At 39.2% G+C, this 18,632-nt stretch overlaps 1 protein-coding gene across 39 annotated transcripts in view; it reads left to right on the forward strand.

Moving 5' to 3' along the window:
• GDA (guanine deaminase) overlaps positions 1 to 16,398 on the forward strand; it is a 145,262-nt gene extending 128,864 nt beyond the window's left edge. For 12 of the 39 annotated variants that reach the window (XM_017015338.2, XM_047424104.1, XM_047424109.1 and 9 more), the window contains 4 exons: positions 1,677 to 1,807; positions 3,935 to 3,962; positions 4,801 to 4,867; positions 7,279 to 8,753. In XM_017015338.2, the coding sequence (XP_016870827.1) occupies positions 1,677 to 1,807; positions 3,935 to 3,962; positions 4,801 to 4,867; positions 7,279 to 7,333 (281 nt within the window). In that variant the 3' untranslated portion in view covers positions 7,334 to 8,753. Of the gene's footprint in view, positions 1 to 1,676; positions 1,808 to 3,934; positions 3,963 to 4,800; positions 8,754 to 9,766; positions 10,090 to 11,332; positions 13,935 to 14,021; positions 14,177 to 14,922 lie in introns of those variants that run through there. The other 27 variants (NM_001242507.3, NM_001242506.3, XM_011519217.3 and 24 more) reach the window with 16 other exon arrangements.

Genomic DNA, 18,632 nt, shown 5'->3' on the forward strand with positions numbered 1-18,632 from the left:
CTCATACTTGACATGTTTCTTTGTCAAGGGCAAAAAGAAGTCAAGTAATCAGTGAAGGAGGAGAGAATTTCCAGTGATTTTCTGTTACATTCAGTCCTTTCCCATACAATTAGTAGAAGTCACCTGGCTCCTTTTAACATTTTGGATTATTTTCATACCCCTGTCTTGCTAAAGAGAGTACTTTAGCTAAAAAGCCATTTTTCTTTTCTGAGAATAAAAGAGTTGCCCTTTAAAGAATCTTTTAAGAACAAGTAAGATTTCTGAGTCAGTGTTTAGAGAAATGCCACAACTTCTGGATACCTATAGGTAGAAATATAATGTATTAGATATTGCCTAACAAAGGTAGTCGATTCAATATTTTCACATGAAACTTTATCTTAGCGGTGATAGAATGCAACAAATACATGTGAAAATTGAAATAAGGCTGAGCACAGTGGCTCACGCCTGTAATCCCAGCACTTTGGGAGTCCGAGGTGGGCAGTTCGCGAGGTTAGGAGATCGAGACCATCCTGGCTAACACGGTGAAACCCCATCTCTACTAAAAATACACAAAAAATTAGCCGGGCGTGGTGGTGGGTGCCTGTAGTCCTAGCTACTCGGGAGGCTGAGGCAGGAGAATGGTGTGAACCCAGGAGGCACAGCTTGCAGTGAGCTGAAATTGCGCCACTGCACTCCAGCCTAGGCGACAGAGCAAGACTCCGTCTCAAAAAAAAAAAAAAGAAAGAAAGAAAATTGAAATAAATAATACTGCACTCCAGTTAACCTTCCATGCTTCCATTTGTGACCCCAGTTTACACCTTCCTCAGATTACAGGCTTTAAGGAACTTTAGAGCCAATACCTCTGTTGGCGAAGAAAGCCAACTACCCCCATCTTTCTGAAACTAAATCATAATAATGAGAGATGTTCTTCCTTGATATCCAATAATCTTGGAACATGAATTGTAGCTATGAGATGAGCCAAGTCAATAGATATTATTGGCCTGTGCTCTATTTTAGAAGACCATTCTTCTCTGGTGACCAGAAAACCTTTGAGGTTGCAAAGAGATTGGTCTGTTTTCAAAAGCATTGAGACTTTTGAGTTATGAGAATCTGTTCATTTTGAGAAGTGAGGTTTTTTTTCCATTCAAAGGATTTAAACTAAGGAATTTCTGATGGATATGCCTGCATTGACAAATATGCAAAAGGATAATTATTTTTTATTTATTCAAGGTTCATTTCACTGCCATGAAAATAAATCTTGTCAGCTATTTCATGGAACAGAAAGAACAAAAAAAAGCAAGGCAAGGAGTTGGAGTGTTGGGGGAGAATAGAAGGGAAAAAGAATAAAGGTATTATGTTAATCATCATGTTGCTTAGAGGGATAAATGAAAAGCATAGACCAGCTGGGCTATGAAGTGCACTGATAGAGCTGAAATAGAGACATACCAGAGTTATGATACAGTAATGAAGGGAATTGTTTTCATTCTCAGATTTTGCTTTCCTGTGCTTACTCCACTTTATGTAAGTAGAAGTCTTGTGACCTGTTAGAATGAGAGTGATTTTCTGTCTCACTGTTAAGATACTAATTTTTTTTTTTCTCCTAGCGACATGTTGGCAAAATCTGTCCTTACAAACTGAGACATTAGTGTGGTCTGATGGCTTGCAATCCTGACTGTTTATTCACTTGTTCTCAATAGCCCTGGGGCTGGATGGTGAGATTGGAAACTTTGAAGTGGGCAAGGAATTTGATGCCATCCTGATCAACCCCAAAGCATCCGACTCTCCCATTGACCTGTTTTATGGGGACTTTTTTGGTGATATTTCTGAGGTAAGTAAAAGAAAGTTAATCAAAAGGCATTTATTTCATAAAGTCGTCATAATAGCTTCCCTGTAGAAAAGAAAATAGAAACCGAAACTTTTTAATGGAATGCAGGAAAATCTTAAAATGGACGCTAGAGCCCTTTGATAATTATTATAATTTTATGACAGCAATGTTAAGAATAATGGTGTTAACAAAACTTTTATATTTTGAATGTGTTTGTGTATTTGAATGTATTTGGCTACAAACAGCCATAATGTAACTAGCACTCATTGAACACTTGCTATGTGCTGGGTAGGCATGGGATTAGGCACTTCCATACCTAATTTTGTTCGATCATCAGAGCAACTCTAAGAGAGTAGGTACTATTAATATTGCCATGTTAATTTATAGGGGCAGTGAGGCTTAAGGAAGGCTAAGTGATTTACGTAAAGACTCATAGCCAGTGATTAGTAGGTAGAGTTTGGATTCACACCTGGGACTTTCTGACTACGAGAGGCGAGGCTCTTGAGCACTATGCTATGTCAATGTTTTTAATTTTATAAGAAAATGAACTTTGTTTCTCTTATTATAAAATGTTTTTCTATGGATAAAATAAACTAGTTCATCTTACCTGAAAAATAATTCCTTGTAAGATATTGAGTTCTTCCTAAAAAAAGAATTAAGTATTGCCATTTCTAAATTGATCTACTTGTGAGAGTAATTGCGATAATAAATATGTTAAAGATTTTAAAAGAAAAATTCTGTATTATATGAAGTTTGTACCATTTGTTATTATAAAAGAGGAAAAATATATTTTTCTCTACCCATCTTAGGGTCAAGGCTGAGGTCACTATAACAAGAGACAGATTTAACAGGAGAAAGGCATACACATTTATTTAATATAAATTTTTTTGAGACGGAGTTTTGCTCTTGTCGCCCAGGCTGGAGTGCAATGGCATGATCTCAGCTCACTGCAACCACTGCCTCCTGGGTTCAAGCAGCTCTCCTGTCTCAGCCTCCCAGGTAGCTGGGATTACAGGCGCCCACCACCACACCCACCTAATTTTTGTATTTTTGGTAGAGACAGGGTTTCACCATGTTGGCCAAGCTGGTCTTGAACTCCTGACCTCAGGTAATCCACCTGCCTTGGCCTCCCAAAGTGTTGGGATTATAGGCGTGAGCCACTGTACCCGGCCTATTTAATATAAATTTTATGTGACATAGGTGCCTTCATAAGGAAGTGAAGAACCCAAGAAACAGGTAAACTTGGATATTTTTATGCTAGGTTTGATGAAGAGTGGAAAGTTGTAGAGAAATATGATAGGACAAAGAGTGTGGTCCAGTGGTAATAAGCTAGAGAGAACTTAGCAAGGCCTGCTTGTTCAGATTCTTCTCTGTGATCCTTTAGCTTCAGAGATCAGGTATAGGGAGGGCACCCCTTACGTGATGGTCTTATGACCTGCATTGGGGTAAGGGGTAAGGGGAGGGTCAGAGTGACCTTCCTGTGTTTGATTTGAGGGTAGCGTGTCCTGACCCCCTCATTATTTTCATATTGCTTATTCTTTTACTCTCTGATTAGAGTAAATTTCTAAGAATAGGGCTCTAGGGAATAGTCCTAGTGATTTTTCTTATATCAGGGGTGTCCAAGGGAGTTCTTAGTTTCTGTTTCAGGTTGTGCCAGTAAAGCCCCCTCCCTCATCCCTCTTTTCTGCTTATCAGTAGAGACAGAAACTAAAAACCATGGCTTCAGGCTGCTAAAAGCCTAAAACAAAACATAACAAAACAGAACAACAACAACAAAATAAGGCAGGTTGGATGAGCTTGTCTTACATCATACCCGTCTTGAAATATTTGAATTATTTTACTAAATTAATTTCTTTAATTTATATAATACCTTTTCTCTGATGACTCAAAATTCACATACCCAGAACTTTCACACAATAGGTAAACTTCTGTTAATTGCCAGTGGGTTATTTTTTGTTCTGGGAGGTTTTTATAAAGCACATAGCCACTTCTTTTTTAATTAATAGAAGTAGATTTTGCCATTGAGAAACAAATTCGTATTTCTGGGCTTTGTCAACCACTATCAGCTGTGAATTTACTTTTCTAAATGCACAAATGAGTCTTTCTTATTACTTTTATTTTCCATTTTAGGCTGTTATCCAGAAGTTCCTCTATCTAGGTAGGTAGATGCATGTCTCTATGCTAAATATTAAATAGAACCTTTCCCTGTCTTTTTCTTGGGTATGGCTCTATGTATTTATCCTACCATATATTAAACTCTGTGGATGATAATTTGCTTTGATTCATTATTTTTTTAACAGTCTGAAGCATCAAGCCCATTGGTGGCACATTATTTAAAGGTTCTATTTGAAATGCACATGACTCCCTCTAGTCATAAATTCTAAGCTGAGGAATGGAAGGCCAAAGGTGAAGAGATCTTCATGTTCAACCCTCTTGTACTCATTCGGTATCTGACATACTGCCCTGCCATGTTTTTGTGACAAATGTATAGTAGAGTCTCACCACACGTGCTGGTGATGTACTCACATTCAATTCCATTCACTGAGAGAGAGAGAAACAGTAATGCAGAATATTCTACACTGCCTCCCATTCTGTTCAGTGAGCCCAGGACTGAGTGAACTCAAGATGGAAAGATGCATGTGTTACTTCTTGTGGAGCTGATTCTGGAGCGTAAAGAGTAGTATTTCTTTCTCAGTGGGGGCAAAATGTAAACCAACCACTTCAGCTGAGAAAGGACAGCTATAGGGGGTTGATTCAACTTTATGTGATTTCTGCCTCTGGTGCAGAATTCAGACCCTAATCATCAAATTAGCTATGGCATTTTCTACTAGTCATATCTTCCTGTTCAGATTATAAACAATCTGAGGGTTGGGGGAAAGCAGCTTTTAGTATTTCCTCTCCTAGAAGTATCTTTAAAAAAAATCTCTCCCAATGGCAAGGAAGATACTTATTGACACAAAAGGATTTTATACATGATTCCTTGATTTTTCTTTCAGGAGATGATCGAAATATTGAAGAGGTTTATGTGGGCGGAAAGCAGGTGGTTCCGTTTTCCAGCTCAGTGTAAGACCCTCGGGCGTCTACAAAGTTCTCCTGGGATTAGCGTGGTTCTGCATCTCCCTTGTGCCCAGGTGGAGTTAGAAAGTCAAAAAATAGTACCTTGTTCTTGGGATGACTATCCCTTTCTGTGTCTAGTTACAGTATTCACTTGACAAATAGTTCGAAGGAAGTTGCACTAATTCTCAACTCTGGTTGAGAGGGTTCATAAATTTCATGAAAATATCTCCCTTTGGAGCTGCTCAGACTTACTTTAAGCTCAAACAGAAGGGAATGCTATTACTGGTGGTGTTCCTACGGTAAGACTTAAGCAAAGCCTTTTTCATATTTGAAAATGTGGAAAGAAAAGATGTTCCTAAAAGGTTAGATATTTTGAGCTAATAATTGCAAAAATTAGAAGACTGAAAATGGACCCATGAGAGTATATTTTTATGAGGGAGCAAAAGTTAGACTGAGAACAAACGTTAGAAAATCACTTCAGATTGTGTTTGAAAATTATATACTGAGCATACTAATTTAAAAAGAGAACTTGTTGAAATTTAAAACGTGTTTCTAGGTTGACCTTGTGTTTTAGAAATTTGCACTTAATGGAATTTGCATTTCAGAGATGTGTTAGTGTTGTGCTTTGCCTTCTTTGGCGATGAATGTCAGAAATTGAATGCCACATGCTTTCATAATATAGTTTTGTGCTTCAAAGTGTTTGACAGAAGTTGGGTATTAAAGATTTAAAGTCTCTTAGGAATATTATTCATGTAACTCCATGGCATAAATAGTTGTATTTTTGTGTACTTTAAAATCAACTTATAACTGTGAGATGTTATTGCTTCCATTTTATTAGAAGAGAAACAAATTCCATGCTTTATGGAATTTATGTAGACTGGAGTCTTCGTGAACTGGGGCAAATGCTGGCATCCAGGAGCCGCCAATACTAACAGGACAGGTTCCATTGCCATGGCCTATTCCACCCAAACAATATGTTGTAGTTTCTGGAAATTCCATACTCAGATATCAGTCTGCTAGAACTTTAAAATGAAGGACAAATCCTGTTAAAGAAATATTGTTAAAAATCTTTAAACCCTGTGTATTGAAAGCACTCTATTTTCTAATTTTATCCAGTTTTCTGTTTAACTCCTTATAATGTTTAGGATATTAAAATTTTAGGATAATGAAGAGTACATAATGTCCTACTTAATATTTATGTTAATAGGACTTAATTCTTACTAGACATCTAGGAACATTACAAAGCAAAGACTATTTTTATGCTTCCATAACCTAGAATTAAAACCAAATTATGACCTTATGATAAATCTTTAAGTATTGGTGTGAATGTTATTTAAATTCTATATTTTTCTTATTTAATTACAAATACTATAAATGAGCAAGGAAAAGGAATAGACTTTCTTAATATATTATAACACTCATTCCTAGAGCTTAGGGGTGACTCTTTAATATTACCTTATAGTAGAAACTTTATGTAATATAGCTAACTCCGTATTTACAGAACAAAAAAACACAGTTCCCCCTCCTGTAGTATAAATTTTATTTTCACATACTTAGCTAATTTAGCAGTAATTGGCCCAGTTTTTTCCCTAATAGAAATACTTTTAGATTTGATTATGTATACATGACACCTAAAGAGGGAACAAAAGTTAGTTTTATTTTTTTAATAAACAACAGAGTTTGTTTTGTGAGATAAGTATCTTAGTAAACCCAATTTCCAGTCTTAGTCTGTATTTCCAATATTTCTAATTCCTGAGCCACGTCAAAGATGCCTTGCCAAATTTCTCCCCATTTCTCTACGGGGCTAGCAAAAATCTTCAGCTTTATCACTCAACCCCTGCCAAAGGAACTTGATTACATGGTGTCTAACCAAATGAGCAGGCTTAGGAATTTAGATGAGATGTGTAAGATTCACTTACAGGCAGTAGCTGCTTCTAGCATTTGCAAGATCCTACACTTTTACCTTCTTTAAGGGTGTACATTTTGATGTTGAACATCAGTTTTCATGTAGACTTAGGACTCATGTGCAGTAAATATAAATAAGTGTAGCATCAGAAGCAGTAGGAATGGCCGTATACAACCATCCTGTTAAACATTTAAATTTAGCTCTGATAGTGTGTTAAGACCTGAATATCTTTCCTAGTAAAAATAGGATGTGTTGAAATATTTATATGTACTTTGATCTCTCCACATCACTTATAACTTATGTGTTTTATTTCTCCAAGTGCGGTGTTCCTGAATGTTATGTATGCTTTTTTTTCTGTACCACAGGCATTATCTATACCTGGGGCCAGATTTTCTGCACTTTGAAATGTTGCCTTTGCCTAATGTAGGTTGACTTTCTGAATTGTGGAGAGGCACTTTTCCAAGCCAATCTTATTTGTCACTTTTTGTTTTAATATCTTGCTCTCTGACAGGAAAGAAACAATTCACTTACCAGCCTCCTCACCCCATCCTCCACCATTTCCTTAATGTTCCATGGTATTTTCAACGGAATACACTTTGAAAGGTAAAAACAATTCAAAAGTATCGATTATCATAAATTCACAAAATATTTTTGCAACCAGAACACAAAAGCAGGCTAGTCAGCTAAGGTAAATTTCATTTTCAAACGAGAGGGAAACATGGGAAGTAAAAGATTAGGATGTGAAAGGTTGTCCTAAACAGACCAAGGAGACTGTTCCCTAATTTATTCTCTTGGCTGGTTCTCTCATTGAATTATCAGACCCCAAGAGGAGATATTGGAACAGGCTCCCTTCATGCCAAGGGTCTTTCTAAGTTAATACTGTGAGCATTGAGCCCCCATTAAAACTCTTTTTTACTTCAGAAAGAATTTTACAGGTTAAAGGGAAAGAAATGGTGGGAAACTCTCCCCGTAATGCTTAGCCAACTTTAAAGTGTACCCTTCAATATCCCCATTGGCAACTGCAGCTGAGATCTTAGAGAGGAAATATAACCGGTGTGAGATCTAGCAATGCATTTTGAATCTTCACTCCCTACCAGGCTCTTCCTATTTTTAATCTCTTCACCTCAGAACTAGACATATGGAGAGCTTTAAAGGCAAGCTGGAAGGCACATTGTATCAATTCTACCTTGTGCTATACGTAGGAGAGATCCAAAATTTGGATGCTTCTGGAGACTCTTAGACATCTTTTCATTGTTGTCCATTTTTAAAGTTGATGATTGCTGGAAACATTCACACGCTTAAAAGCAATGGTGTGAGTTATTAATGGGTAAACTAAGAAGTGTTATAGGCAATGACTTGAAATGGTTTTTAAATTGTATGGATTGTTAAGAATTGTTGAAAAAAAATTTTTTTTTTTTGGACAGCTTCAAGGAGATGTTAGCAATTTCAGATATACTAGCCAGTTTAGGTATGACTTTGGAAGTGCAGAAACAGAAGGATACTGTTAGAAAATCCTAACATTGGTCTCCGTGCATGTGTTCACACCTGGTCTCACTGCCTTTCCTTCCCACAGACCTGAGTGTGAAAGACTGAGAGTTGAGGAGTTACTTTGTGGATCTTGTCCAAATTTAGTGAAATGTGGAAGTCAACCAGACCAATGATGGAATTAAATGTAAATTCCAAGAGGGCTTTCACAGTCCACAGGGTTCAAATGACTTGGGTAACAGAAGTTATTCTTAGCTTACCTGTTATGTGACAGTGATTTACCTGTCCATTTCCAACCCAAAAGCCTGTCAGAAAGCATTCTTTAGAGAAAACCACTTTACATTTGTTGTTAAACTCCTGATCGCTACTCTTAAGAATATACATGTATGTATTCATAGGAACATTTTTTCTCAATATTTGTATGATTCGCTTACTGTTATTGTGCTGAGTGAGCTCCTGTGTGCTTCAGACAAAAATAAATGAGACTTTGTGTTTACGTTATTTTTTGTTGTGAGTTCTCTCTGTTTGGTTTTGTTGTGAATTCTATCAATCTGCTGGAAGAGGAATTGATTTTACAATGTTTTTCTTCTTTTAGCATGAATTTAAAAAAATAGAATAGAATACTCAGCTGTGAGCCAACATGTATCTAACATCCTATAATAGTCACTATACATAGCTTTTAAAAATTAAGCTCGAATGTTCAGCCTTTTAGAAGCAGATTGCTATTGCTTTTGATTTCAGCATAGTGTATATTTTATATATTTTAAGACATTACCCAGAGTGAGTAATGCACTCTATATGAAGAATCAGTTCACACAGACATATGTGCATGTGTATTTAAAACAAAAGTTTCACAGAAAAATACTTTCTCTATTTGTGATGCCCTGGGCTATTTTCTATACTATTTTAGTCTATGTCATTTTATTTTATTCTCTACTTTTTTATGGTGCTGATGATTCCCCAGTTGGTTTCTTGAGCTTCTAAGGAATCACCTGCAATTCAGAAGCAATATTCCAGTATCTTTTGATCTATGTTTGAATCTAAGTTTGGCCATTGCCTTGCTGGGTGGCAGATATGTTACTTTAAGTGTCCATTTCTAACTCTGTGATATGGAGATAATATGAGTGCCTGCCTTACAGTCATGAAGATTAAATAAAAGGATACATAGACAGCACTTAAGCTAGCAGCTGGAACACAGTGAGTGCTCACTATCTGGTAGCTATTATCCTAAAAATTAATATAGACCAAATAAAAATAGAAATAATTTTATAAATATTTTTATCAGTATATATTTTAGAATCTAAATCAAGTGATATTACGGATCCTCCTTTACACAGAAACACTTTGCATCTGATTTTTCAACAGTATTATATATTCTTTTTTTATTTGTAATATGAAACATAAAGACAGTAGTAGATTAGGTCTATAAATTCATCCCAATGTCTGAGCAGCTTACAGAACAAGTCTTCGGATTGCACTGGTGACCCAGCTCATCCCCTCTTTCTCTCTTGTAGTTCTCAGAATAACTGTAGAATGTGCTGGAAATGGAACATTCTCAGATAAGGAGGAACTGGCCAGATCAAACTAAGCTGTGTTCCCATCCCTCCTGAAACAGGATCTTATGGTGCTTTAGCCCAGGACGTCAAGTATCCCCTAGGTATGAAACCCAGAGTGGAGCATGCTTTGAAGGTCCCTCAGCTACATGCAGACTAGACTGCATGTAGCTGACTCTAACTGCCCTGGGAAACTATCCTGAGCTTTGACAGACCTGCCATGAATCTTAAGCTTTTATTGTCCCTTGCTGCCTATCTGTGAGGAATAAAGTTGCTTCACTTACTTTGCTGTGTGATTGTTCTGTCTCACCAGACTCATGCGAGAGGTAGAAACTGCAGTCCCAAGATGCAGTGGGCATGATGAAACTGCTTCCCACAAATTACTGAGCACTTTATTTTTCTCCTAAAGATCAATTTAGTATAAAATATCCAGAAAAGAAATTTCACATGCTTAATTTAGCAATAATGTATGTCCAGTTTGCACATTGTAGACACTGGGTATTACAACAGATAATATATAAACGTGCAAATTATTGCATGGTACTAAATTCAGGATTTAAATTAAAAAAAAGATTTGGATATAAGAGTTAGTGGGTGCAGCACACCAGCATGTCACATGTATACATATGTAACTAACCTGCACATTGTGCACATGTACCCTAAAACTTAAAGTATAGTAATAATAAAAAAAAAGATAAATACCTCCCAGTAGCAAAACAGGACTTGTGTTATGGTGTTCTAAGACTCCATGAAGAGGCCACTTAGTTACTGGAACTACTGGAACAGAACTCACAGGTAACGCTCACCAATGGCAGCAGGTGTTTTGTTTTGTTTTCATCTTATTTTAAAACAGGATAAAAGGGAGATGTTCTCTGTCTTTGATATGACAGTATTTTAAAGTGTAATTAATTTTTTAAACTAATTCAGACTTATCACTTTTATCTCCAGCCCTGCCCTAACCTACTACCACATCATTGTAAGACTACATTGCATTTATCATACTTAAAAAATTGTTCATGCGTCTATAATAGTTGAATCTAAATTTTGGAGCAGGAGTATAGATAGAGAGATAAAAGCATTTTCTCTGTAGCAAAAACTTTGTTGGGAAATTCTTCAATGGTAACTAAAAAAAGTAAAAAATAAATGTTTTCTCTCCAGTACAAAATGCAATTAAAAAAAAAACAAAAAAACAAAACAGATCACACAGAATTTCATACTCCACTTGGGCCCTCCTCTATTGCCTGGCTTCTGTAGAGAGGAAGCAAACATTTGTTCCCTGTCTGTAGAAGGAGAACCCAAAGTCATAAGCAGTCAAATCAAACTGCAGAAATAACGGCCCTGGAAGATGGTTATTTGGTCAGATGACATCCACTCACTTGAAAACTGAACTTGTAGCTTCACTGTGAAATTAACTTCTGTCCTTTTAGTCTGGGCCAGTCTCCAGATCAGACTTTTGGTTAACTGCTGTCAAATAAAACCCATAAGTGGATAATCCAAGCGAGAATTCTGTTTGTGTGTGTGTTTCAGATTTCTAAATTTGGTGCCCTGGAACACTTGAGAGACTTCAAATGGCCTTGGTGATTTTTGTTTTTGTTTTTCTTCCACAAAAGTTGGTTTCATCCACACCTGAGTTAAGGAACAAGTGAAGGATGGCTTTGTGTTTGTAAAGCGCTTTGAAAACCTTGACTGAAGCACAGCAACAGATAAAGGCAAGAAAGGCTTAATTTATCAAAGTATTGCAGAACAGATGAGCCCTCAAATTGGAGCTTTGCCCAGGAAGGTTATCCGGGAAAGAATTCAGTGTTAGACAGCATCTTTTGTTGAATAGTACTGCTCCCTACAGAGCAGGGCTAACTCATAGGCAGTGCAGCTAAAGTTGACAACATATGAGTTCTTGGCAGCTGTATTTATACTCACTTAAACCTGCTTTCAATTACATGCAAATTAACGGGTGGGTGGATGCAAATTGAGGGGCAGTTTGTTTAGAATTTTCTAGCAAAGGGGTAGTAACTTCCAGGTCATCCTCATAGCTTTTGTAAATTGTCATGGTGCTGGTGGGAGTGTCTTATGCTAATGAGCAATGAGGGCATCTATGGATTGCTTTGGTAGCCATCTGCTGGTTCCTACCAGTTTCTTCACTTTATCCTGTTTAGACCAGATCCTGTTTTGGTCAGCAAGGTTGTGACCAGAAAACAAGGTTTAGACCAGATCCTGTTTTGGTCAGCAAGGTTGTGCCTGTCTCCTACCTCAAAAGGTTACTCAAAAAGATAAATTAAGGGGCTCAGAAATACAAGTGCACACACTTCTTTCAATTCATGAACTTTCTTAGTGGAACTATGAAAGATGAATTGGCAACTTACGTATTTTGGACTAATTTATATAACCACAACAAACCCTCCAGCATCATAAACGTGTCCTGGCATAATGCAATGGCATGCTATCCATCCCGTAAAATCTCATGGTAGTGACTCAGAAACGTGGGGGTAAAAGAGAAGCTATGGAGTTTAGGTTGTTTGTTTATTTATTAAAGCTGGGTAATAGGCTTTTTATGTCATCCAGGACAATTTTGCAATCTCTTATGGATGTATTATTTATTGTAACTTATGGGGGAAACTCATGATGAGACTCACATTCCCTAGAAAATTTTCACATTCCCTAGAAAATTATTGCCCAGACTAAATAAGAAGTCAGTATAAATGCATATAAAAACTCATTTAATGTTGTTTGTAGTACTGTAGACCATTTAACATGGCATAATTTAATCCAAAAGAAATTATAATTAATCAGTCAGTTTGCTCTGAAATATACTTGGCTGTTCTCTTATGCTTTTTATGTCTTTGTAAATTTCATACTTAAAAAAGGTTAATTAGTTGGTTTTTTGAAAGATTTAAAAATGGTTAATTAGTTGGTTTTTTGAAAGATAGAAATCTGTACCTGCAGAAAACAAAATAATGGCCTATTAAGTCATATTTAATTTACTAATCATGAAGTTGTAAATTTTAATCAACATTCATTTAAGCAACATTTCATAATAAATACCAGGTATGGGTCAGTTCTGAGGATTAAAAATAACATTCATCTCTTTGAAGAACTCACAGTCTGGGATGGGAGGTGAGAGGAAACACATAGACAATATGTTATGTTTATGACAGATGTATAGAGAGCTAAGGGTGTTTAAGGGGGAAACTGGTTCTGTTGGGTACATAGTCCGCAGAGAATACATAGGGCTAAGTGTGGTGGTGAATCTTTCACAGAAGTGACATCTAAGCCTGGAAGAAGAGTAGGAATTTATTTTCCATGTGAAAACTCAAAAAGGTATTTCGAGTAGAGCGTTCAGCATGAGCAATAGCAGCTCATCATAAAGACTTGACTTCTGGAAAAGTAAGATAAGAATGAAGTGGATGAATCCAGTCTTCGTAAGAATCACCATGGGTGTTGGTTCAAAATGAAGGTTTCCAGGCCCTTGTCCCTATACATTCTGATTCAGTAGGTTTGTCCTGGGGCCCAAGAATTTGCATTACCAACAAATACCTTGGTATGGTCAGGCAGTGGGTGTAGTGAGGAGAGTCATCCTGGGTATGACAAGGACCAGGTATAATCAGGTGTGTAAGCTAATGAAGAGAAGGCACCAGGCTCACTGAGTGCAGAAACTGTGGGTCTCACGTACATTGGTGGTTTTCCTATTCACTGGCAGATAACTGTTGTTGTTTCCCAGGCTGATCTTGATATCCTGGTCTCAAGTGATCCTCCCACCTCAGCATTCTAAAGTGCTAGGATTACAGACATGAGCTACTGCACCCAGCCAATTGGAGGCCTTGCCCCAGCAGGTGGGGAAGGAAATGCCAGCCAAGTTCCCACCACATGCAGAAACCTGAGAGGGTGAACCCTACCCATCAACACCTGGAGACCTTTTCCTGACTCTGGGACCCGCGACAGACAGAGTAGCCCCTGCATGGGTGACTCCCTGATTCCCACGAGGCCCCAGGGCTGCCGTGGCTCCTGCTGCTCCACATATTGTGGGGCACCTTGATAGCCGAGGTTGCCTTAAGTTACCTCCAGCTTTGTTTCTGTCACTGCAAATCAAAGAGCCCAGCCTAAAATCCTCTGTAGCCTTCTTATTTCCCCCACGGTGAGTACATTCTTTAGAGATAGGATATAAACTTTGAAATGACCATTTTCTTTTTAAATGAATGATAAACCATTGTTCCTTCATTAGGCATGTGGCCACTCTCTACCCTCTCGCAAGCCTTGCCAGAGATGCCATCCTCCACTTCCACTGGGCACCTGGAGCCTGAACCTGGAATCTTCCAAGACCCCAGATCAGCCTCTGCTGACAGTTCTCTTGTAAAGATACTGAGGATAGGATTACAGGTAGTGGCTCACGCCTGTAATCCCAACACTTTGGGAGGCTGAGGCGGGTGGATCACTTGAGCTCATGAGTTCAAGACCAGCCTGGGCAACATGGCAAAACTCTGTCTCTACAAAAAATACAAAATAATACAAAAATAAGCTGGATGTGGTTGTGTGCACCTGTAGTCCCAGCTACTCAGGAGGCTGAGGTGGGAGGATGGCTTGAGCCTGAGAGGTGAAGGTTGCATTGAGCCGAGATTACACCACTGCACTCCAGCCTGGGTGACAGAGCCAGACCTAGTCTCGAAAAAAAAAAAAAAAAGATACTGAGGATGAGTCAGTCATGACAGAATCCTAGTGACATACTAAGAGAGGGAGATGTTGTTTAATGAAATAAATGGAGGCCAGGTACGGTGACTCATGCCTATAATCCTGGCAGCTTGGGAGGCTGAGGTGGGAAAATCACTTGAGGCCAGGAGTTTGAGACCAGCCTGGGCAACATAATGAGACCCTTATCTCTACAAAAAAATAAAAAATGTAGCTGGGCATGGTGGTGCACACTTGTAGTCTCAGCTGCTTGGGAGGCTGAGGTGTGAGGATCACTTGGGCCTGAGAGGTTGTGGCTGCAGTGAGCTGTGATCATGCCACTGCACTCCAGCCTGGGCAACAGAGCAAGACCCTGCCTCAAAAAGAAAAAAAAAGAGAAAATAGAAGAAAAGAAATAAATGGTGGTAGATTCAGTCAAAAATGACCTGTTTTCTCTGCAGAGGCAGTCACACTTCTGAAGATGACTTCGTGGACTGGAGACCAATTGCAGGGCACCCTTGGGAGCCATGAGCTGGACGGGACAGGGCAACATGATATAAAGAGTCTGGGCCACTTAAGTTACCACTGGGGGAGAGTCTTCCCCTGATTCAGGAATACATGGATTGGAATGGGGCAGCTGGCCCCAAAGAAAATCTGTGAAATGTTAAGACATTGCTAATTCAGTTATTGAAATCCAGGGCTGTTAGTTTATGCCCTTGTTGAGGTCTTTCAGGGCTCTGTCCCTGCCCACCTGGACTGACCAAACACAAACGGGTGGAGGACCTTTCAGTGGACAGAGGTCCTGTGACCTTTGTAGGTGGGATCAAACTTTCCCTGCTGCCAAAGGAAGCTTGGACTCGGAAGAAAGAGCCTCACCCATGGGTGTGGACACAGGTCTTCTGCTGCAGTGTGCCCCACCATTACTACCTGACATGCTTGTGGGCACAGAATGGGTAATGACATGGCACTGCTTTAGCTTCTAGGCTTCTTGCAGGGCCAGCCAGGGATTGGGATGGTCAGAGCTCATGAATGATCTCCTCTGGCTGCAATCAGCATTTTCCACTGGCTCAAATGTACTGTACAAATAATAACTCTTTTTTTTTTTTTTTTGAGACAGAGTCTCACTCTGTCACCCAGGCTGGAGTGCAGTGGTACGATCTCGGCTCACTGCAACCTCTGCCTCCCAGGTTTAAGCGATTCTTCTGCCTCAGCCTCCCAAGTAGCTGGGACTACAGGCGTGCACCATCACGCCTGGCTATTTTTTGTATTTTTAGTAGAGATGGGGTTTCACCATATTGGCCAGGCTGGTCTTGAATTCCTGACCTTGTGATCCTCCCACCTCGGCCTCCCAAAGTGCTGGGATTACAGGCGTGAGCCACCGTGCCTGGCCACTTTCTATTTTTGCAGTGAGCAAATCAAAATCAGAGAGCGCTGTCTTTCTACGATGTGGCTCCCAACCCACTGATGGCCTGTCCTGGATGCCAGGCACTTGTTTGGGTTGGAAGCGGACTGCTCCACAGCTGCAGGCTTTTTTGTGGTTAGTTGTGGCCCACAGGATACTGGCAGCTGGAGGCAGAGCAGTGGTGCCTTTTGAAGCCATGGAAGACCTGCTGATTGCCAGCAAAATGTCTTCCCAGCCAGTTGTTCCTGGAGCCGCTGTGCAGGGCTCTGGAGATGGTGTGTGAATGCTTGAGACACGGCCTAAGTCTCTTTGAATCTCTCTGGGAGATTCTGATATATGCTGCCCCAATTATTATAGCAAAGAGCCAACATACTTGGAGGAGAAAAAAAAAGCTAGTCAAAAGATTTTCTGCTCAGGTTGAAGAATATCTTAAAGTCAGTGTAATCGATTAGACTGATTATACTAGTTGATCAAGCAGCCACTCCTCTGAAGTTACAAAGAGAATTTGGCAGGACTTAATAAATATTTGAACAGGTTCAAGTTTTTACTTGAGGTTGTCATACACATTCTCCACAAAGAACAGAAAAGTGAGCCCCAGATTTTCATTTCATGGAGCTATGATGGCTTCACCTCAAAGATAGACACAGTCACTCAAAGATGTATCAAAATCCTGTCACTCCCAAGTGACCAATGCCAAAAACGCCATAGAGAAAGTAAAACAACTTCAGGAGGAAATCATGGATGGTCTGGGTGAAAACACTTATTTTTAGGAAAGACAAGTTGCTTTCCCAAGAAGCTTCTGGATGGAAGGAAAGAGCATGGAACTGAAGGTACAGGAAAAAAATTCCTGACAACTCAAACACATGAACGAAATAATTTGTAAATGATAAAGCCTGTTAAAATATCCAAAACTGCACTAAATATAAGTTTTCCTTCTGTCTTTAGAATAGATTACATGGATGATGGTGATTTGAAATTAGACCCCCCACCCAAAAAAAAAAAAAAAAATGGAGATCACCTAGACTGACAGAAGTCTATTTGAAGAAACTCATTGACGCTGTTCACTTATAAAGGCTTAAAGGAGAAAAACAAGGACAAATACATGTGCAAATATCATGTATTTTTAAATTTTTTATTATTTAAGTTCTGAGGTACATGTGCAGAATGTGCAGTTTTGTTACATAGGTAATTTTCCAAGGCTTAATTATTCTGTTTAGGAGGTTCTTTGTTAGACATTTCTAATTTTTATGCAATCAAAAAAGTCTTAATTTATGGAAAAAAATTTGCATGACCTAAATTGCCAGTCGGCAGCCTTGGCTGAACTGTCCCTTACAAGGGTGATAGCCATTTCTCCACACTGGCCATACTCTGCTTTTGGATTTCCTGCCTTTTCCTCATGCTCATACTGGAAAACGGCAGTATGTTTTACTCTGACATCCCATCCCTCACCATCACAGATGATTGGCCAAGTATAAGAAGTACTGATCCGAGCTAGACCAGTGCAATTCTCTCTTCCTGGAATTTGGATTCAGGACCCAAATAAGCTGAGAGGGTTTGCTGGAGGCACTGGGCACATATAACATTTGAATTCCTCATTTACATGTGGCTGTTTGGAGCCATCAGTGGGCCAGATGAGAAAGCAGATTCAACCTGCAGGTAGAAGCACAGTATTTTGGGGGGAGAAATTCTTAATTCTAAAACATGTCTGATCCAAGGGTTTCAGATAAGAATTGTGAATTTGTACTACCCCAGTTTTACAATTGGGTCAACTGAGGCTCAGAGAGGTTAAGCCACTGCAAAACTAGGACATGAGAGAGCTAAGGTTCGTTCAGACCCCATGCTCCTTTGGCATGACACTAGCTCCAAGAGGATTATTAATGAACTAGACACTGGCATTTGGATTCAGGACCCAAATAAGCTGAGAGAGTTTGCTGGAGTCACTGGACACATACGACATTTGAATTCAGGGGCCAAGGTTCCCATTTGCCTGTGGCTGTTTGGAGCCACCAATGGGCCAGATGAGAAATCAGATTCAAACTCCAGGTAGAAGCAGGAGAAATGGAAGAGACTTCAAGGCCCCAGAGAAAAACAGAAGCTGGGTTGGCCTCTTAATAACATTTTTTTTGCCTTCAGTTAAGGCTCTCAAAGGGCTGGGTCTCATAAGATTTATTTTATTAAATAATAATTCTAGCTACTTGGGAGGCTGAGGCAGGAGAATCGCTTGAACCCGGGAGGCGGAGGTTGCCGTGAGCTGAGATTGCGCCACTGCACTTCAGCCTGGCGACAGGGCGAGACTCCATCTCAAAAATAATTTTAAAAAAGAATAAAAATTCTTCTTCTTCCTCCTCCTCCTCTTCTTCTTCTTCCTCCCCTTCTTCTTCTTCTTCTTCCTCCTCTTCTTCTTCTTTTCTTCTTCCTTCTTCTCCTCCTTCTCTTTCTTTTCTTCTTCTTCCTCTTCTTTCTACTTCTCCTTCCTTCCCTCCCCCTCCCCCTCCTCCTCCTTCTTCCTCCTCCTCCTCTTCCTTCTCCTCCTCCTTCTTCTTTTTGCTAATCATACAACCCTTGACTAAAGATCTACTTGCCATTAAAACGGAATTTTGTTATTCCCTATGACCATAGCAAACAGGCAGCTGATTTCTTGAATTGGGTGGGAATGAAGGTGGGGTCTTCTTGCCACTATGCAACACGACAAGTTTGAGTTATAATTCTTCAGTGAAGAGGTGAAACAAAACCCTGTTACTATAATCAGTTGGTCTGACTATCCAATTA

This window comes from Homo sapiens, chromosome 9, assembly GCF_000001405.40.
Source record: "Homo sapiens chromosome 9, GRCh38.p14 Primary Assembly".
NCBI lineage: Eukaryota > Metazoa > Chordata > Mammalia > Primates > Hominidae > Homo > Homo sapiens.